The sequence below is a fragment of the Homo sapiens genome, chromosome X (assembly GCF_000001405.40).
Source record: "Homo sapiens chromosome X, GRCh38.p14 Primary Assembly".
Lineage (NCBI taxonomy): Eukaryota > Metazoa > Chordata > Mammalia > Primates > Hominidae > Homo > Homo sapiens.
Genome location: NC_000023.11, coordinates 12,703,647 through 12,725,195, shown reverse-complemented (window position 1 = coordinate 12,725,195; position 21,549 = coordinate 12,703,647). Strand labels below are relative to the sequence as shown.

At 41.5% G+C, this 21,549-nt stretch overlaps 1 protein-coding gene across 14 annotated transcripts in view; it reads right to left on the bottom strand.

Moving 5' to 3' along the window:
* FRMPD4 (FERM and PDZ domain containing 4) overlaps nucleotides 673-21,549 on the bottom strand; it is a 902,085-nt gene continuing 881,208 nt past the window's right edge. For 7 of the 14 annotated variants that reach the window (NM_001368398.3, NM_001368402.3, NM_001368400.3 and 4 more), the window contains 7 exons: nucleotides 20,711-20,837; nucleotides 18,281-18,370; nucleotides 17,545-17,727; nucleotides 14,659-14,797; nucleotides 8,063-9,127; nucleotides 6,406-7,695; nucleotides 673-4,667 (listed from right to left, as the gene is read on the bottom strand). In NM_001368398.3, the coding sequence (NP_001355327.1) occupies nucleotides 4,663-4,667; nucleotides 6,406-7,695; nucleotides 8,063-9,127; nucleotides 14,659-14,797; nucleotides 17,545-17,727; nucleotides 18,281-18,370; nucleotides 20,711-20,837 (2,899 nt within the window). In that variant the 3' untranslated portion in view covers nucleotides 673-4,662. The remainder of the gene's footprint in view (nucleotides 4,668-6,405; nucleotides 7,696-8,062; nucleotides 9,128-14,658; nucleotides 14,798-17,544; nucleotides 17,728-18,280; nucleotides 18,371-20,710; nucleotides 20,838-21,549) is intronic. The other 7 variants (NM_001368395.3, XM_017029983.2, NM_001368396.3 and 4 more) reach the window with 3 other exon arrangements.

The following is a 21,549-nucleotide window of genomic DNA, read 5'->3' as shown; positions in this document are numbered from 1 at the left end:
CCTTCTGACGAATTCACTTATGTGAAATAGGCTGGGACTGACACTTAGGTACGAGGGCAACTGTGGTCAGAACAACTCTCTGAGCCAAAAGCAAAGCTCATAAACCAATAAAATACAAATAACTTTACTATATAATACAGTAAAGGATGGAATGAAGAGCCCCTAAATTGTGGACAATGGTTATCTTTGGAAGTTGGGTTTAAGGGGATTATTACTTTCTCCATCATTTATTTCTGTAATGTTTATTTGATAATATTAAGGAATTCCCAATTTTTAAAATGCAAAAACGTCATTGTGGTTATGTTTAAAAGTTCTCACAGGATATTCTTACTGAAATATTCATGGGCTAAGCACTATGATGTCTGGGACTTGCTTGTAAATCATACAGTGGGAGAGGAGGTGGGTAGAAATACAGAAAATAAGATTAGACATGAATCGGTAGGTAATGAGTCCACATGAATTCATACGATTGTGTCTACTTTTGTTTGAAAGATTTGTGATAAAAGATTAATAAAAATGGTAGGAGATAAACTTGGCAAAGTAGACTGGGGACTAAACATAAAGAACCGTGAGTATAAGGAAGGTTTATTCTCCAGTTCAGTGCTCTCCAGATTTCAGTGAATGCAACCCTACCTGCGACAATATTGTCACATGCATGCACCAGGCATATGCTTATTTATTCATTCATTCATTTATTTATTTAAAATTATGTACATGTACCATTGTACTATTATGCCATTATAAAACATACACAAACATAAAAAAGCTAGATAAAAATAAGCACAAGTATTGTTCTAATATGTTCTTCCTACACTCTATGGACCTGGACCCCAGTTAGGAGCCCCATGCTTAGTGAATGTGGGGGCCCCTTGAGGTTTTCTGAATAGCAAAGAGTTTATTTATAAGAAACAGAAACTTACTGGCGCAGTAATGGGAGGTTGATTAGAAGGACCCAGAGCTACTTCCCTGAGGCTTCTCAAAGAACTCCAATGGACTGGGAAGTTGTTCTAACTAGATACGTAACTTGAACAAGGATGGCCACTTCCTTGTACACTTCTTTTACATATATGCAATACACATAATGTGTTCTGCACACAGTCAGGATACAATATGCATATAAAACAAACATTCCCCCACATATTATCTTGGGCAATATATTTAACACAACGATTATGATGATAATAATAGCTAACATTAATTGAATACTTACTCTCTGCCAGGTATTGTGGTAAGAACTTTACATACACATTTTTACTCAAAACTCATGACAACCCTATGGAAATCGATCTTATAATTGATTTTCATTTTATTATGAGGAAATTGAGACTAGAAAAAGTAGCTTTCCCAACATAAAAGGGCTAGAAAATGGCAGAGTCAAAATTTTAATCAAGATGTTTCTGACCCCAAACCCCATATCCGTAAGAACTCATCCATATTGCCTCCAGAGAGAATAGTGTCCAAACCAGCAGATTGTTGTGATGATTAAATGAGATAATATAGTTAATATGCTTAGCACACTGTCTGACATAGGGCACACATCCTATTAATAGGTTAGGATTTTAGTACACAGAATGATATTTACTAAGATTTTCCACAGTAAACACCACTAATATCTCTCAATATCAAAACACCAATATTTATAATTATAATTGTAATGAAATAATGTTTTATTATTTAGTTAAACATTATTTATAATAACACACACCTAAACTCCTTTCCTTTGCTGCCATCCATAACCACGTGCGGCTTTTGTTGTTGAGTCCCTGTGGAATGGCTGACTAGAGAGAGATTGCAATTGTGGACTGTGTTATGACTCCTTCTCAGCAGGCTACAAAAGTAGAAATATTTGCACCTGGTGTACTCCCATCATGTTCTTAAGGAGCCACCTGTCTAAGTAGGAGTGCATGTAACTTGAGCACTGAATGACCCAGGAAATACATATATACATATCGATTTTATTTTATGACTGCAGGGTACTTTTAGAGATGTGACAGTCCTGGAAAGTTCTTTGCATTCCATTGGTTTCACTTGAACTGGTCAAATATACCACTTCCATTTCTTTCTTTTTTTTTTCAGATTTCATATTTTTATCAGCCAATCCAGATTAAGTATTTATTTAATAAATACTTAACTATTTACTCATGGCTCCCATGATTACAGTAGCCATCTCTCCCTGATTTTCTGGAACATCCAAGATTTGAGATTTTGTCCCAGTACTACGCTATAATTCCAAATTTGACTGGCAGCCTTAGCCTCTGTAGAGGCGGTGATGCATGAAGCCCTATGCTGAGAGCTGTGATCTGAGATGAGACTCACAGGTGCTGGTGTGTGGTCTGGTCTACATTACTGAATCTGTACTTAATTTTGATGATCATTAAATGTTCCTTTTTTTAAGTTTGCAAATACTTTACTAAATGTCCTATCACTCTAAAGGGAATTTTAAGTTTCGTAGTTGAGTTGGGATGAGGGGAAGATAATGTCTTTGGTTTGCAGATTTTTGACATTTAGTCAAAGCAGATCTTTCCATCAAATAATTAATTTTGGTATTATTAATTCCATACATTTTATGTAATGAGATATTCTATAACTCTAGGTGTTACCTAGGAAACTGCCCATCATCCCCTCTGTTCTTCTCCCCGGGAAGTTTTTTAAATGCTAGAACCACTGTGAAGAGCATTTGTGCTGACACAGTAGAATCCATCCCCACCAATTTGTAGCCCCAGTAGCAAAAACCCAAATTAAATATGTGGGATTCTTGGAAGAAAGCATCCAGTAACCAAATACTATGAGCAAAAAATTAATTTATTACAGATATATTCTCTAGTAATTCATAATAGCTTCTTGAATTTTAAATGTCTTTTTGCTATTTCCAATGCTTAAAAATCATAATTTTAAAACATAAGTACTGTTTTATATACATTGTGATTTCTTTTCTTTTCTCTCTCTTTTTTGTTTTGTGTTTTACTTCTAAATATGAATGATATGGTTTCCAAGTAGCTACTTGGAAAGAAAGGGGATAGGATTCATTGTTTTGCTCTAACATGGTAGAATTTAAAATTTCACATCATATACCTGGAGTTTTAACTATATGAAAAATAGCCAAATGTCATCACTTTCTTGGATATTTCTTTTACGTGTATATATATGTATAATATAAACAGAATACATCTGATTAGTACATTTCAACATTTCATCAATGTGACTTTTATCTCCTATTTTATATAAAATAACAAAATATACAGAGAGAAGAAAGGAGACATCTGTTCATCATACACACAAAGTAAATAAAAGTTCATGTATGGCTTTGCAAAGGTAGATTATGACGTGACTTCCATATTTATTTGTTTAAAAGCCTCTTGAGAGAACGTGTCAGTGTGCTTACGAGAGCGGCCATGGTGGTTGAGTGTCGCGCCGAGAGTCCAACATTAGGGTCCCCAGGGTTCTTTCCAGTGGCTGCTTCGGCAGCTTTCAGTAGACAAATGTAATTTATGACCACTTCATCGATCTTCCCTACAATTTCCTGCCGCTGTGTTTCTGAGTTCACGACTTTAACTAATCGCATGCAAGCTTCTGTTAGGCAACAGAGCACTTGAAAGCTGGAAGTCATAGCTAGGAGCATCTCCTCCGGGCTTTTCTCAGCCATCGCCATTTTCCTACAGGCACTTCCCAACTGTCTGGACTCAATGGATAACAGTTGCTTGTACTGAGAAAGTGTAAGGTCGTACGCTTCAGGGCGTGACTCCTCCCTCTTCTCCTTGGTTGCCCTGACGAGACAGAGCAGCTCATTGGCATCATTTTGGGCTGCAAGGAACCCATCAGGCATTGCATATGTGCTCTCCTTTAGGGCATTTATTCTTGCAATCCGGGCATCAAAAGCCAGGTTGCTGAAGTCCAAGTCATCTGGGTCTCGCAGGTCTTCTGCCCAGACCTTCAGCACTGACCCTCTGGATAGCTCCCCTCGTTGCTTCTGAATCGCCACAGCCAGGCATGGGCTGCTTGGTTCTGGCATGGCTTGAGTCATCTGTGGTCTATAGAGGCAAGAGACCTGGACGGTGGCCTCTCCCCTCTCCTCTTCTTCCTCACCATCTTCATCCTGCCCTCGGTTCAGGAAGCAATAGCTGAAGGGTCCCCGGCATCTCCAATTGCTGCCCTCCAGCTTCCGCAAGGGTAATGTCCTATACAGCTTTGAGTCTTTATGAGCCACTGGGGACCTTTTGTGAAACCTCCCCTCAGAGCTCAAGTGCATTGAGCTTTGGGAAAAACTTTTGGTGAGCTTCCTCCCCAGGGGGAGTTCTGCTCGCCTTTCAGAACTGGCCTCCTGTGCTTCTGTGATGCCTGGACACTTTAAGCTGACTGCACCCTTGGTTCTCTCTCGGAAGGTCTCCAAATCGACAGATCCGGAGAGGATACTGCTGCTATGTCTCAGAGCCTTCTGGCTGGGAGGTGTCCTGAGGCTCCCCCCTCTCAGATCCGGTGGCCGCCAGCTCACAGCCTCTCCGTATGCCTGATTTGCTTGGGAGAAATCATTAGGGTCTTGATTTGGAATTGGCACCTTTGATTCCGAGTGAATGTTTGATGGTAGCAGGATGGGATCAGCTTCAGGATGTTGAGACCAAGCTGAAGGCATGCCTCCTCGTCTCTCCTTCCCAGGCTCTGTCAAAGCTACACTAGGGGTAGTAGAAAAACAGAGAGAATCATTAAGCATCTCCTGGGAGGTCATTTTTACTACATCTCTACATGATGTCTGTCATTTCTCAAGGTTGTAGTCTGGAAGGGCTGCCGATGCTAAGGTCACCCTGCTTTCCAAAGACTGCCTCTTGATATCTCATAACAAATTTCCATTTTAATGAATATCAAGAAAATACTGGAATCTGTTATTTCTGGAACTGCTGATTCATTTGGAATTGTCTAGAAATCCCAAACATTTTCAGGGATTTCATGAATTGCCTTACTCCCAATATCTACCCATCAAAGCTTAGACACAGAAAACAACTGTGTATAGATTATTCAAATATATTGGAGATATTAAGTTTCATTTCAAGGGAATTAGGTTAAATCTGGCATTGTTACTTTTCTTTTCTTTTCTTTCTTTCTTCCTCCTTTCTTTCTTTCTCTTTCTTTCTTTCTTTCTTTCTTTCTTTCTTTCCTTTCCTTTCCTTTCCTTTCCTTTCCTTTCCTTTCCTTTCCTTTCCTTTCCTTTCTTTCCTTTCTTTCTTTTAAAGAAGTGGCCTAATTTAATTAGTGCAAATTAAATAAGTGAATCTTTTTAAGAAGTCAGCATGAGGTTTGCCTGGTAAAAGTCTGAAGTTGAAACACTGGGCCAGTTGTTCAACATTTTTTTTTTTCTTTAAGAAAAGCTGTCATGTGAAGCAAATAATCCCCATCTCACAGAATTTTTGTGAGAAGCAAGAGGTAACTCAGGTGAAAGTTCTTTATAAATCATGAAGGATTAAACAGTGTGACTTAGTTTAGAGGTAAAGATGCAGTTGGGTGATGAGTTAGGTGATATTCACAGACAGCTTTTCCAAAGGAGGTAAAGCCAGTGGTGGGTTTTGAGAAAGTAGAAAATCTTAAAAGAACAGGAATAGAAAATGACCAATATAAGATGTCACTAACTTCCATTGACCTGTATGGAAAAGACACTATTGATGACATAATTTGAAACATAAAAGTATGAAAGAGTATCTGCTTTTGCCATGTGATGGCCAGCCAAGTGGATCGGTGAGGGGAATGCCTGCCATTGAGTGGTGGAGTGGTGAAGGTGGGATACAGAAGGTGGATGTGTTCTTTTTTCTACGTGTGTTTACACTTTATTATTTTGGGGAAAATAAAGCAGCTCATCAGGAATAGCCTCAAAATCTTCCTGACACTGGGGTATGCAAGACACTTCAGAACATCCATATAGAGCAGTCTTACAGAGTAGGGAGGAATCAGTAAGATTGCCGAAAGGCAAATGATCTCTCCAAACCCCTCCAATCTCCCTGATACCCTGCTCTCTTATCCTTCCTTGTCCCTCAATAATGAAATGGCAGAATTAGAACTCAGATGTCTTGGGAAGAAAATCAAACTGTTATGTGACTCTAAGCAATACTATCATATAACTAAAAGTCACACTGGGCATTGCTAAACATCTGCATTTAGAATTTAGGAAAAACATATTGCCCCATCCAATTCTGAAAGCAAGCACAGAGTAAGATTATAAAGAGCAAATGCCATTTTCACCTTTATAATCTTTAGTATTTATTAAATACCAGGGGATCAATGATTGGTACTTTACAGTTCTGTGGCCTTTTAAAATTCTACCTTTTACTTTTCTTCCAGACATTACGTTTTTAAGTTTGTTGTAAATATGGTTTACATGCTCTTGGCATGTCATACAAAGTGCTAAATCCATCATTGCTGTACCTGTGGTTTCCTTAATCTTGGGGAGCCGATGGCATCCATCTCTCAATGTGCCAAACAGGGGTTCGGTGTTAATGGCTGTGTGCAGAGCAGGCACTGTCATCCGTGGACACATCCCTTCTGTCTGTGGGTGCAGTTCCTTAAAGGTGGCTCCGTGGTTGGGAAGCCCAGGGGCTCTCTCCTCTGAAGGAATGTAATTCACGCCTTTCCCAGAAGCGTCAGGAATCAAGTGCTTCCCCAGGGAGGGGCAGAGCGGCGACTCCACGGGTGTGGCACAGGCACTGCCACTGCTGCCTGTGCCACAGCCTGCATCCACTGAAGAGCCTTGGGAGCTCTGCAGAGAAAAATGGCCCTCGCTTTGCAGTGATGACATCCGCTTGGCCAAGTGGTAGTCACAAAGGCGGGCCACACTCTCATCAGCCTCAGGAAGCTTGGAAGGATGGTCGCAGGTGGACGAGTCAGCGTCCTCTGGGTTATCTAAGTCTTTGGCTGAAGATGCACAGGTCACGTCAGTTAAGAAGCGGTCCCCTTGACCAAGTCCTGAGCCATCACTGGTTTCTCCATCAGGAGCTCCTTCTTCCTTCCCTTCGGCCTCCCTTGCCCCAAGACCAGAAGCTCTTGGAAAGGTTTTCCCTGTTGCTGCTTCTAATCCACTTTTTTCAGCCATCCCACCTTCAGTGGCCACATACCATCTTTGACTGTCCTTGCGAAAGGCAGTTCTCTCCAGATTAAAAGTGCTCAGGTGTTGACTGTCTCGTGAAGACACAGTACCAAATTTACCACTGGCCTCCTCCTCCATCTCTGCCGTTTTGGTCCCCTGCTGTTTTTTTCCTGTTGTGTTCCCATTAGGGGGTGCCTTCCCCTCACCATCGGCCAGCTTGCTTTTCCTTTTGCTAGTGCAGGAGTATGCCACCGACCCCATGTGCAGTTTGCTAAAATAGTCAGTGACCGACTTAGTCTCCATAGTTTCAGGCTCCATCTCCATGTGGTCTGAGTGAAGTAACTGCTTGGAAGGCACAACTTTGGGCGGGAGGTCGGTTGCTGGCCTAGCAGCCAGGGCGTGCGAGGACTTTGGAGGCAAGCCCCCAGCGGGGGTCTTGGAGGCCGGGAACTCGGTCTGCTCTTCTGCAAGGGGGTGGTAGCCTTCGTGAGTGGCCAAGAACATGCGGGAGAGGTTTTCTGACTGTTTTTGTGCTGTGGCCAGTTCAGAACTCTCAGTCATTTCAGAAGAGTTAGTTTCATTGCCCGAGTCTGACGAAGACTCAGGACTATAAGCCCGCAAGATGGCTACACCTGCATGCCGTAAAAAACAAGAACTGATTAATGGATGCATCAGAGGCACTTGGAGACATGTAAGAAAATGGGACTCGTTATTACTAAAACAAAATACCAAGTTTTTCCCTTTTCAGTAAGGACTCTGAGTTTATTGCAGTTTTTCCAGAAATGGGGGTGGGGGGAGATGTGCCTTATGTTTTTAAAAAAAAATAACAAAGGAAATCACATACACACAAAAAAACCCATGATGGCAGTTTCAGCACATTTATGAAATGGGACATGTGTGAAATGGAGAACACCACGTAACAGGACTCCAGGGGCAAATGGCTTGGAAGGATGGAATGATATGGTTATCAGTGAATGAATGTAACAATTGTGAAAGAACCTGAATTGTCACTGGTCTGCTGTTCTTCTGACACGGATAGAGCCTCTAGAGCTCCCAGCGTGGAGACGACGGCATTATCCAGTCCCTTCTCACACTTGCCTTCGGCGCTGGTGGGCACAGCGTCAATGAGGGACACGGGGATCTCATCATTTTGCAGGCTGCTGCCTTTCTCCTTGTCCTCGGGGAAGGAAGCTGCCTGGCTCTGAGAGTCCTCTTCATCTGAACTGTCTCTAAAGCCAGGTGGGGGTGCGGCAATGGCCATGTTCAAGGAACGCAACAGGAAGTCATCCTCATTGTCATCACCTTCTGGAGGGGGCAGGGATGTGAGGTCAATGATGTCATCGCTTGACCCAGACAGGTTGAGGATGGCCGGCTGGTTCATCTCCCCCACCACGAGGTCCTCCTCGCAGCTCACCTCGTCCTCGTCCTCCGCGTCATCAGTGTTTTCTGCATAACAGATGTCATGCAAGAGGGGTTCCTCGATCCCCTCCGCGGCCTGGAAGCTCTTCACATCGCCTATGTTTGCATAAACAGAATTTTCCACAAACTGGATGCCCTCTGCCTCTGGAGTGAGATCCAGGCCCTTCATGTCATTGGCACTGCCAATGTAGAGATTTCTCTGCTTCTCCAGCATTTCAGGACCCTCATCTAGTAGCGTTTCATAGCCAAGGGTTGGGGGACTAATACCATCATCCAAGGCGAAGTCTCCAAAAATAAAGGACACTTTAGCTCCTCTCGGAGATTCCTGTGCTTTCTTCAGAGTTTCTGGTCCTGAGAGGGTCAATAGGGACCGCTGAGCTAGACTTCTGTAGTCTGCCTCACAGGGGGCCTCCCCGGGCTGGCTCAGCTGCTGGTTAAGTCCATCTGAACTATAGGCATTGTCTATGTACAAGTGCCGGTGCTCTTTTGGACACATGGTGCTGTCTGTGATCTCCACCGTCTTCTGCTTTGAATCTATGTATGTTATCTGGGCTTCTTGTTCCCCTTCGCCAATAAAGGTGGTCATTTGGGGTATACAGTTCCAATCTGGGCCAAGGAGGTTATGCTTCCCCTTGTTTTCAGGTCCTAAAGAGAAAGAATCACGCAAAGACACATTACTGTACTGTCTGGTTTTGGGTGGGGCGGGGGTGGGAGGCTCGTCTCTGTTTTTTAACTTAATGGCTTGTAGCATCACTTATGTAAATACAGTTTTTCAACTACCCAAATATAGTACTTATTGATTTAGGCTTCAGGTGTAAGAATTCCTTGGGTTAGGAGAACCGACCTTAACAAAATTGATACTGCATAAACTGTAATTGCTATTTGATAAAATGTAATACCATCTGGGGGTAGGGAAGTATAGCTTAATTCCATCTGACCCTTGGTTCTATTATTAAAAGGCTTCATTCATATCTACAAATGTAAATATACAACATGTCTTTTACCCTTAAAGGTGAGATTTCAATAGGCCGTTATTCCAGAACATTAATTGTTCTTTTCCTTGTAAGGTGAGATTTAATATTCCCTACTTCATGGAGGAAGATATTGAGTGTTTTCCTCATTGAATTCAGAGACGGTCAAGGATCGTCAGAGTTTTACCATAGTTTTTAGGAAATTAAGATAAATGTTGTAATGATAGTACAAAACTTCTATCTTCAGTCTTTTGATATCCTAGTGGATGTTAAAATATTCATGTATAAATGTCAGCATGCATGCCCATGTGTATATGTGTGTGTGTGTGTATAAAATGCATAAGGTGGCATGGTCACAGGTAACGTACTTTTCTCTGTAATTTCTAAGCATAATTAATATTTAGATTAATTTCAATTTTTGTTTGTATCATAGGAACTCCTGAAAATTTGTTTCATGTTCCTCATGGATTAAAATTACAAAACCCCAATTTAAATACTATTATTTTGTTTGCTCTTCAAGCATCTTTCAATCTGGAATTTTGATGTGGAGATTTGCTCTGATATTTAACAAGACAGAGAACTGGGTCATTCTGTTGATATTGCCTTGTAGATTCCAGAGGCAACATTTCCAGAAAATTTTAGGGCCATACTATTCTCCCATCTGTTCCCTCAAACTGCCCCCAGCACAAGTTTGGATAACTGACATCAGATGTGCAAGACATATGGGAAAAAAGTGCAGTTTTACCTAAGAGATTTTTGCTCCCCGCAAATCATGCAATGGACTTAATGCTGAACAGTGTTCAGGGTCATTTTAATAAATTCATGTATTTTCATGAACAATAAGAGATATAATTTTGAAGACATTGAATTATACACTGGCCATATTTGCATCTTACCATACAATAAATAAACCTTGTGGGGGTTCAGCATTATTTTATTAACAACAATTTGGATTATGACTGGGTGTGCGTGTGGGGGGAAGTGTGTGTGTGAGTGTGGATTGTTGCAGGAGGAAGACTAGTTCAGCAAAGTTGCATTGTAACGCGGGTTTAGGGCTTGGCAAACATTTTCTGTAAAGGGAGGCCCAGATAGTAAATATTTTGGTTTTGTGGGCCAACCATTCAATTGAGCAACTACTCAACTTAGCTGTTTTAATATGAAAGTAGCCATAGATGCTACATAAACAGATGGGTGTATGAGTTGAATGGTGGCCCCCAAAAGATATGTCCACTCTGTGAATGTGACCTTATTTAGAAAAAGTGTCTTGCAACGTTAAGGATCTTGAGATGAGATTATCTTAATTATCTTTATGGGCCCTAAATTCAATGGCAGAGAGAGATTTGGGCCACATAGAGAAGAGGGGAAGGCCATGTGAAGACAGAGGCAGACACTGGAGTTAAGCAGCCACAAGGAATGCTGGCGGCCACCAGAAGCAGGAGGCGGTAACGAGAAATCCTCCCCTAAAGCCTTTGAAGGGAGCATGGCCCTATCAACATTCTGGTTTTGAACTTGTGGCCTCCAAAACTGTGGGAGGATAAACTTATGTTGTTTAAAGCTCCCAAGTTTGTAAGAATTTGTTCCAGCAGCCTTAGGAAAGTAAAACAATGTGTGTGGTTGAGTTCCAATAAAACTTTATTTGCAAGAACATGATTTGGCCCATTGACCATAGTTTTGCCAACTCTGATTTAGATGAACAAGAAAACTGAATAGGTCAGCAGGCTCAAAGCAAGTTGATGGATACTTACTGAGACCCTCCTAAAGCCCAGAGATGCATACATATGTGGGGCCAGGGATTTTGAAAGTGCTTGAAGGCTAATTTTCAAGATAGAGAAGAAGAAATGGGGGCTGTTTCTTATTAGATATCTTGACTAAGATCTGGGATCAATTTGAGGTGAGAAGAAAATATGTGTTCAATCTGGCTTCCTTCCAGAAGGGTCTACTGATTTGGCTTCCTGGAATAATTTTGGAGACAAGGAAGAATGTGGTTTGGGGGCTGGGATCTATTCTGTGGCCCAGTCTCCTACAGAGTGGAAGGAGAGAATGGACTGGGGAAGAACTGGCCTGATGGGACTTCCGCTCTGTATTTCTTGGCTCTCAGATCTTTTGGGAGTTTCTGAAGAGAAGAGAGTACTTTCAGCCCTTAGAGTATGCTGAGCCCAGACTGCTGCTCAACCTAGGTCTATCAGTTTCTTTTTGGAGTGTGCTCTCTCTCTGTTATCCTCGCTTCTCTCTCTCTGTCTCTCTCTCTCTCTCTCTCTCTCCACCTACCTCCCGCCCTGTATCTTTGAGAGTGGGGATAGGTATTTGAAACCGGGAGAAATGATGGTGAGGCTGAAGTCCCATTCTTTCCCCACAGTAATAATACTTTTTGTAACTATGTTTTTGCCTCTAAGTTCTATTAAACCTTATGTTGTGGGTCACTATGAATTGGACAGAGTGGAGACCCTTATTACTGTAAGCATGTTTAGAATAGTAGCTTTGGTTTTCTTCATACACCTCTACAATCTTTACAGTCTATGAGGAAAGGATTTATTTTCAAGATAAACTTTAAAATTTGAAAATAAAAAGCCAAAAATTGGTTTTCCAGTGGGAAACAATTGTGTCAAATTGCTGAACTGCTCTTTGGAATTTCTTTACTTTTCTTTTTTTTTTTTCTTTTAGACACAGGATCTTGCTTTGTCAGCCAGCCTGGAGGCTGGAGTGCAATAGTGTGCTTGGCTCACTAAAGCCTTGACCTCCCGGGCTTGCATGATCCTCCCACCTCAATGTCCAAAGTAGCTGGGACCACAGGTGTATGCCACCACACCTGGCTAGTTTTTAAATTTTTTTCGTGGATACAGTGTCTCACTTTGTTGCTCAGGCTGGTCTCAAGCTCCTGGATTCAAGTGATCCACCCGCCTCGGACTCCCCAAGTGCTGAGACTACAGGCATGAGCCACCATGCCCAGCCTTCTTTGGAATTTCTAAGGTCAGCATTAAATTGCTCTAAATCTCCTAGCTCAATGAAAACATGTGGTCATAAAAATGTTTACTGCCAAACCCAGTGCACGCCTATCACCTCCTTTTTTGTTCTTTCTTTTTCTATATTTATTTTTAAACATTTGTGTCTCTCAGGAGCTTTCTTTGCCTCATGTTCTGTCTTTCTCTCCTTTCTGTGTTTCTATCACGTTCTAATTTATTTATTTACTTATTTTTGAGACAGGGTTTTGCTCTGTCACCTAGGCCAGAGTGTAGTGGCGTAGTCATAGCTCACAGCCGCGTTGACCTCCTAGGCTCAAGGTTTCCTCCCACCTCAGCCTCCCGTGTAGCTAGGACTATAGGCGTGTGCCACCACACCTGGCTAATTTTTATATTTTTTGTAGAGACGATGTCTCCCTGTGTTGCCCAGTCTGATCTCAAACTCCTGTGCTCAAGTGATCCTCCTGCCTCAGCCTCCCAAAGCACTGGGATTATAGGCGTGAACCACTGCATCTGGCTTCTATCTCTTTCATTCTGGGTTCTTTCTGCCTCTGTTTTTTTTTTTTTCACTGCTAATTATTAATAGAAATGCTGAGCATCATTTTAGATGATGTACCTAGATTATTTTTCTAACCCTTGCAAGCTAGTTTTTAAATCCCATTTTACAAATGAAGAAACTCAAGCTCAGAGAAATTAAAAAAAATCAGATACCTCAAGATGGGACTGGATTAAATCTCAGATTTATTTGACTTGAAAGTCCAGGTGTTGCCTTCTAACATGCTTTATCCATTGCTCCTTGTTTCTAGCTTCCCTTTTTCTATGACTGAGCTGCTTCCATTCACCTGGCCATCATAATAAACTGTGTGTGAGTCTGTATGCGTGTTTAAGTGTGTCTACATATTGCAGTATATTTATGGAATAAAGATTGATGTTTATGCTCAATTTAACAGTGACAGAACTTCCTTCCCTTTTTTTCTCCCCTCATTTTCTCTGATAAATGCCGGGGACTTGGGGCGGGGGGCAGGGTTGGGGGGAAGGGAGAGAAAAAGAGAAGCAACAGTAAAATTTGTTTTTAAGAATTCCCCTTTCTTTTAAAAGAAACCCCAATTATGGAAACTCTGATTATACTTTTTTTTAATGGCTCAGTGGCTGTGCCTAGAATGGTGGCATCTGTCCATCAGTGACATTTACTAAGCATCCACTGTAGATGGAGTAAAATGCTTAAGTAACTGAAGAAAAAATGTTCTAAAACCAATGAAAACCACCTACTGTCAAAGGAATAATCAATTTAACATTTGCAGCCTTCCCTGTCCTCGTTGTGGGGATCTTTTTTTCTGTCAAGTAGGTGAACTGAATTATTTGATGTCTTTGCCATCTTGGTGCTCCTATTATGGATCCAAGATGGCTGCCAATGTGGAAGAATTTTCTTCTAGTGTTCCCAAGTCCGAGTGCTAGGCAATAACCACGTCTTCCTGTTTGTAAAGTTCCCAGAATCCTGGGCATAAGTCTGACTACAGGGAGGAGGCTCCCAGACACCCGGGCCTAGGACACCATCAGGAGAGACCAGCCCTAAAGCAGGGGCTCACAACTCGTGTTCGGGCATTCCATCATTAGTCCTCTGGCCCTGACCTCTGTAAGAGTAAGGCCATGAAAACCCAGCCATAGAGACTTTCATGATAATAAAATCAAGGTTGGAGCAAGCACCCTGACACTTCTGAGTGATGTGTCAAATGTGGTGAGAAATCAGCATTTTTCTTTTTAACAATTAGCCCACATCACAGGTATCTGAAGGCTTTTGGCATTGAATTTGGACATTTGATTTTTTTGTGGGTACAATTTTAACTTTTTTTAATTTTAATTTTAATTAATTAATTTATTTTGAGACAGAGTCTCACTCTGTCACCCAGATTGGAGTGCAGTGGTGCGATCTCGGCTCACTGCAACCTCTGCCTCCCAGGTTCAAGTGATTCTCCTGCCTCAGCCTCCCGAATAGCTGAGATTACAGGTGCGTGCCACTATGCCCAGCTAATTTTTGTATTTTTAGTAGAGATGGTGTTTCACCATGTTGGTCAGGCTGGTCTCGAAAGCCTGACCTCGTGATCCGCCTGCCTTGGCCTCCCAAAGTGCCAGGATTACAGGCGTGAGCCACCGCGCCTGGCCTTAACTTTTCAGAAAACATCCTTATTATTGTTGTCAGGTGGGGTGTTTGCAGGGAGGTCAGTGCTTGATGAGTTCAGGAAGAGAATACCTGTTTCCTGGGTCGCTGTGTTTTTCTTGTTGGCCATGTTAAATATCGACCTCCTGGAATCAACAAGCAGCCGGTAGTATCCAGCCGTCAAGCAGGCCAGGTTCATGGCATCTGAGGATTCCATCAGAAGCGTGATAGGCTACACAAAAGAGAACACTTTGGTTAAAGCCATCCATTCTTAATAACATCCCTGGAGTGTCAACAGCTGCATTTATGCTTATGGAAAAAGGAGTTATTGAACAAACATTTCATGGGAGAAACCCAAAGCAGGAGAAAAAGCCAAGGATAACACAAAGTGCCTTACTGAAAAACATTCAGGACACACCCTCTAAAAAGCCTGGACATTTTGAATCTCTTCCAAGTCATATATATATATGTCTGTCTATCTATCTATCTGTCTATCTATATTTGAGACAGGGTCTCGCTCTGTCGCCGAGACTGGAGTGCAGTGGCGTGAACTTGGCTCACTGCAACCTCCACCTCCTGGGTTTAAGCGATTCTTATGCCTCAGCCTCCGGAATAGTTGGGATCACAGGCATGCACCACCGCGCCAGGCTAATTTTTGTATTTTTAGTAGAGACGGGGCTTCACCATGTTGGCCAGGCTGTTCTCCAACTCCTGATCTCAAATGATCCGCCCACCTCAGCCTCCCAAAGTGCTGGGATTGCTGGTGTGAGCCACCGCACCTGGACCCCCAGTCATATTGAAATGAAAAAAAATGAGATTGTCTTCTTCCCAAATAATTAACATTTTTAACATTTAAAGACAATTAAACATGTTAAACTGGTAAATTAACATTAACTAGTTAAGTTACCAGTTACCTCAGTTACCAGCAGTGAACTCACAATCTGAAAATTACAGGAAGATTAAGTTTTGGGTTCACGGTGTAAATTAGTGTTAGAGGTAAAATTCAAGTGGAAATTACTGCTAAGACTGAATGAAAAGTGCCAGAGATCCAGTAAAAAGTTGCTTCTAGATGAAATCGTAAATTTACAGGAGGGTAAAACAGATGGGAGTTGAGAAAAGGCCTCACTAAAACTCTCTTGAAACAATAAGGTTATTATACAATTGGACATAGATTTGGAGCTTATAGGGAAAAAAAAGTGTTGGATGAAGCAATTTTTCTCATTGAGTTAGGAAGGATGTGTTTTTGTTGAAAGAGAAAAAGTGAGTGAGAGAGAAATAAGGAAGCAAGAAAAAGCAGATATGAAGAGAGGCACAAAGACAGCAAGACAGCAGGCCTCTTGCTTTCACTCCTAGGTATAGGACACTGGGCGGATTCAGCGCCCCCAGCTCGTAGAATTTAACTTTCCTGCCAAAGCCCCTGTACTACTTGTTGAACTGCCTTTCCTTCCACTTCAGTTGAGGTCTCCCCTCAGCCTCCAAGGCACCGCATCATTATTTTATATAGGCAGGACGCCATCGGCCGGGCACGACACTCATTTCTGTTTAGGACAGATTATCTCTGTCATCGGATCTGTAATAACTGCATCCAGTTCACCCTTTCATCCACCTTTCTCTGTGATGGGGCTATTTCTCTCAGCCTCTTTGCTCATGGAGTAGGATTAGCATTCCAAGTCTATCCTCACACTTTCAGCTTGCCATGAAAACCCTCTGGATCCAGCCCATGAAGTCCTACAGGTCACAGCCAGCATGTCTGAGCTCCACATTCTCTCTTTCGTGATCATCTGTTCCCACTGCAGAGCTCTCTAGTGTATTCTGATGTGCTTTGTAGAAACGCTTTGCCACATTCTCAATGGCTGTTAATCCACTCCTCCCACACCAGCACCCTAGTGGGGAGGCAGGTAGGGCTGGGTCCTCCCTGGCTATTTTCAGAGCACCCTCCAGGCTGGTGTTGTCTCCTTTGTGGAGTCACTATCTCCATTTGTTCCCGTGCCTTTTCTTCATAGAAACAGTAGAAATACTGCCATTGCCAAAATCCAATAACTCATCTCTACTGGGAAAAGAAGGTGGAGACCAGGAACCTGGACTATTTCCTATTCTCTTTTGGGAGTAGAGTTTTGCCCTTTGTGGACCATCTCAGATTTTTGTGTTTTTTTTTTTTTTTTGAGATGGAGTCTCGCTCTGTTACCCAGGCTGAAGTTCAATGGCACGATCTCGGCTCACTGGAACCTCCACCTCTGGGTTCAAGCAATTCTCCTGCCTCAGCCTCCTGAGTAGCTGGGATTACAGGTGCACGCCACCACGCCCGGCTAATTTTTGTATTTTTAGTAGAGATGGGGTTTCACCATGTTGGTCAGCCTGGTCTTGAACTCTTGACCTCGTGATCCGCCCGCCTCGGCCTCCCAAAGTGCTGAGATTACAGGCATCAGCCACCGCACCTGGCCAGATTTTTGTTTTAAATGGAATGGCCATGACATTCATAGGAGCCAGATGTTCAGTCAGTACCAATTGCTACCATATGAGAAGACAGATGAACTAAAACATCAAGCTTTTCCAAAAGAATAAACACATATGGACCTAACGTAAGCAAAGGGAGTGAGAATTCTAAAGAAAGTTGGGAAAAATCTCCCTCTTGATTTGAGTCATATATTCTAGAAAGTTAGTTCAGAAAAGTTTCCCCTACTCTATACCTAGAAATCACATATTCTAAAGTCAGAAGGGACCTAGAAATTATGTAGCTTGCTTTCTCACGTATGAATAAAAAAATTGAGCGCAGAGAATTATAGCGACCTGTTCCCAATCACACAGCGATTTAGTGAGGACTGGAGCCCTCAGGCCTGAGTTGGTGGATTATTTTCTGCACCACATTGCATCTGTGATGCTCTGCACACATTGACTTTTGCCTGCCTTGTAAACATCTGCAGTGTTATCAGAAATTAGCTGTTGACAGCAAGGCCATGTGTCAACACCTGAGAAACTTGCCTTCACATCTAGCACGTGGAGTTCTACCCGCACCAAGCTCTCCTCCTCGGAAAACATTTCGATCCTGTTGACGTGGCTAAAGTCGGCTAAAAGAGCCACCAGATTGGTTTTGGTGTTGATGACATGGCTTATGCCATACCGGGGCCCAACCAGGAGAGTCACTTCCGAGCGCTTTTCTGCCTGCTGAGAAAGAGAAGTTGACAACATAAAAATACTGAACCTCTGAAATGCTATGCCAACTTGAACCTATGATCCTATTTTTATAAGATTATATTTTCTTTAGAAAGTGTTTCTGGGTCATACTGTACTAAATCATCCAATTAGAAGAACCAGATACATGACTGAATTGAGGCTCTGATAAATCATGAGTAATTAGAAAGTAAATGTTATAGCACAGTATGTTCATAATCATAAGATCCTTTTAGAAATGAGGTTTGTTTTTTTCTTTTTGGTTTTCCTTTTTTCACTGTGAAAGCAACTTCTGGCTCAATGATTTAAAAGAAGGCCATTGTTAGAATCCTTTGATTCTCTCGGTTCTTCACATTTCTTTTTCTAGGGCATTCTGCAGTGGTGTTATCTAGTTTAACATTTCTTCTGATATTTTCAGACTGTTGTGAAGTTGGTTAGAAATGAAGGCTGGAGAAGATTCACAGCTGATTTGCTTTTGTCATCAGAGGCGGAATGAGCTGCTGTGGCTTCCAAGAGAAAGCAAAAAAAAAAAAAAAAAAGAAATTACCACTAATGTTGCCTTGAACACACGGCCCCCATACAATCGTAGGTCACTGAGGAACTTGAGATAATGGACCTTGGCTTGTAGTGCAGAGAGCTGAGGAGAGAAAAGAAACCTCAGGTGTTAACTCTATTGGGTATGACTCCATTTCAGCTGGAGACTAGCAGAAAACAAGTGTAAGATAGAAGGATGATTTTACGGCTGAAAAGTTGAGATGTGACAAAGACTATTCATTAGGAATAAAATTGCTACATATTTGGTTTCCTGATGAAGGACTGGAACATAAAATCAAGATTCAAATCTTATTTATTAGGGGGTCAATGTATGGGGCACTCATGGGTATAGATATGCTGGGCCAGGGCACTCAGCAAGTGAGAACAAGACCATAAAATGTTCCATTGAACATCTGCTCACTGGGAGATTTCAAGAGGTGAGTGGGCCTTCTACTTGCAATTAGGGACAAAGGTGAGGTGTCTACCTATATTCCCATTGCACAAGAGACTCACCTGAATGCAGACTTTGTGGGAATCATTTTGAATACGCACCTGCAATCTAGGCAAAGCCTTCTAAACAGGCCCTTTACACTTCCCCTCTCAAGTTTCTTCCAGTCCTTGCAAGTTTTCGGGGGAAATGAACTTTCTGAGAGCCAATCATTGTGGAAATGTTTGAACTTGCTAAATAAGGCTCTGTTTTATTAATTCAACTTGGAAAATCTGTTGAGTTTCACAAGTGATTTATAAATGAAATTTTATCCAGATAAAAGTTATCTTTACAAAGACTTAAAAATGTAGGATCCCATATCACTAAAAAGAGTATTTGATTTAAAAAAAAAAAAGGTCCATGTTTCATACTGAATGTGCCAGGGATGTTTATTAAGGTTGAAATTTTCCAACAAGGTGTAGACCACCATTAAGTGGCAATGACCATAAAATTCTATTTTCACTTGCAGATGGCTTGCCAACTTATTTGTTAACTATACATAAAGGCACTGCTCTTTATGTAATTGTTACTTAGCACCATTCATCCATCCTACTTCTTTCAAAAATGCAAAGCATTTGCAAATTGTTTTGAAAGCAAACTATTCACTCTTGGCTAGAAAAACAACCTTTAAAGGACAGTGATGGATAAATGGATAGGTTGATTGATCTTATAGCAGTTATCCAAATTATTACGAGTGGGCCAGGCTTGAAAAAAAAATCACAAGTCAATTATAGAAATTAGCTTCCAGCAAATCAGAACTGAAGTTAAAAAGAACTTGACCCACATCATCTTGCTACATCTCTGTAAGCTGAATGCTCACTGTGATCAAAGACATCCTTCCCATGAAATTGGGAAGTGAGTTAAAGGTGGCTGATAGTGTGTTGAAACTGATTATACTTAAAAAAAAAAATTGTCGTGGGGTGAGGAGGGGATAGAAATAAATGTACCTTACCCAGTAAAAATGACTTAAAAAAATCAGATACTAAGACAAAATGGTTCTCCACGTAAACAGTGATTTGTATTAGAGTCACACAAATTTCTCCAGCTAATATCAATTGGAAAGTGTTCTTCAGTTATAAGACTGCTTCCAATTTTATAGATCCAGTATTTTAAGGCTCCTTCTCTTTCTGGTTCCTGGAATCCTTTGCTTTTTATTACCTATAAACTATACCTCTCTTTTCTGACCAACAGTATATTTTAAAATTTCCTTTGTGTTTCTCTTACTTAATGAAAACAAAAACAAAAGCATAAAAAGATTTTAACACTAATGATGGTGAATGACAGCAATAATTTTATCTTCCCTCCAAAGGTAGGATTGAATCCATTGTTTGTCAATAGGGGTGATTTTGTTCCCGGGAGCACATTTGGCAATGTCTGGAGACATTTTTGTTTGTCACGATCACGGGAGGGTGCTACTGGCATCTTGTGGGTAGAGACCAGGGGTGCCGCTAAACATCCCAGAATACACAGGATGTTCCCCGTAACTCCCTAACAAAGAATGATCTGTTCCCAAATGTCAATTACGCCACAGTTGAGGATCCCTGGTTTAATTAATGTGGCCTCTGGCCTGCAGGGCCTCTTGCTGGCTGTTGTGCATTGAAGCTGGTCTGAGCAGTAAGCAATTGCATGATTGAAACATAGAATGATTTCACAATTCTATCTTCTATCCACAAGGTCTCAGAGGCTACGCAAACTTTTCCTGGATGGGCACATGAACACATACCTCCCTGCTACAGTACGGAGTCCATAACTTGTGAGAAAGAAATAGGTTTCTATATGAATACTTATTTTTCATTAGTGTTAGAAACATGTTAATAGTTAGAAAAAAGTTACACAGTGTTACTGCTTCTGAAAATATGGTACTAAGTATTTTATTCATGAGCTAATTTTAAACATTTAAAAAATGCATTCAAGCCTCTCTCTTTATAATTTTCTTTTAAGATGGAAATGTGATACCTTTTTACCCGGTGGTACCAAGTTTTGATTTGCTTTGACAAGGTGTGAAAGTGCTTTCTTTATGTTCTTCTCTTTCATGCTTTGCAGCACAGCAGAGGGAAGAAAAGTCTCTAATCCCCATTCTTTTCTGCAATAAAGAGCATATCTTTAATTTCACATTTCTGTGATGATGAGTTATCTAAGACAAAATGGTGCTCTGATGTTTGTTGGAACAAATGAACCCTTGGTGAGGCAGAGAATGGAGACAAGTCCCCAAAGGAAGTAACTTTTAATTTACACTCAGGACACACACTACTTGATCATTAATACACATGTTTGCATTTAAAAAGAAATCTGTTCCTCATTCTCTAGAGACAATGCTAAGGAGGCATTTGGAGCCAATGTAAAGTGAAGAGACATTTTGTCCAACCAACTTCTGAATCTCTTCAAAGTCACTCACGTATCCGAGTTTGTATTTCCAACACCAATTTCTCTCCATCCCTTTGTTGATTTCTATTCTCCAATCTCCCTGTCTGCTCATATTCTTCCTCTCTTAGAAGAATGGATGCAAGTCCTTCATGTCCCCAAACCATTCTTCCCTGTCCCTCCCCTCCTCCATGGCTATTTCTCTAGGCACACACAGTTCTTTTGTCCCAGCCAGTTCCTGTCTAACTCCCTCCATCAACATTTCTTGCTGGTGGTGTGGAATTGGGTGTGATTCATGACTCTTAAGTGTGCCCAGTATTGATGTGGAGATGCTGTTCTCATTCATGGACGTGGATGTACAACAAAACAACAACAAATGGGACTGAGTTAATACATTTTTACAAAGAGCCAATTTCACCAGAAACGACTACCAC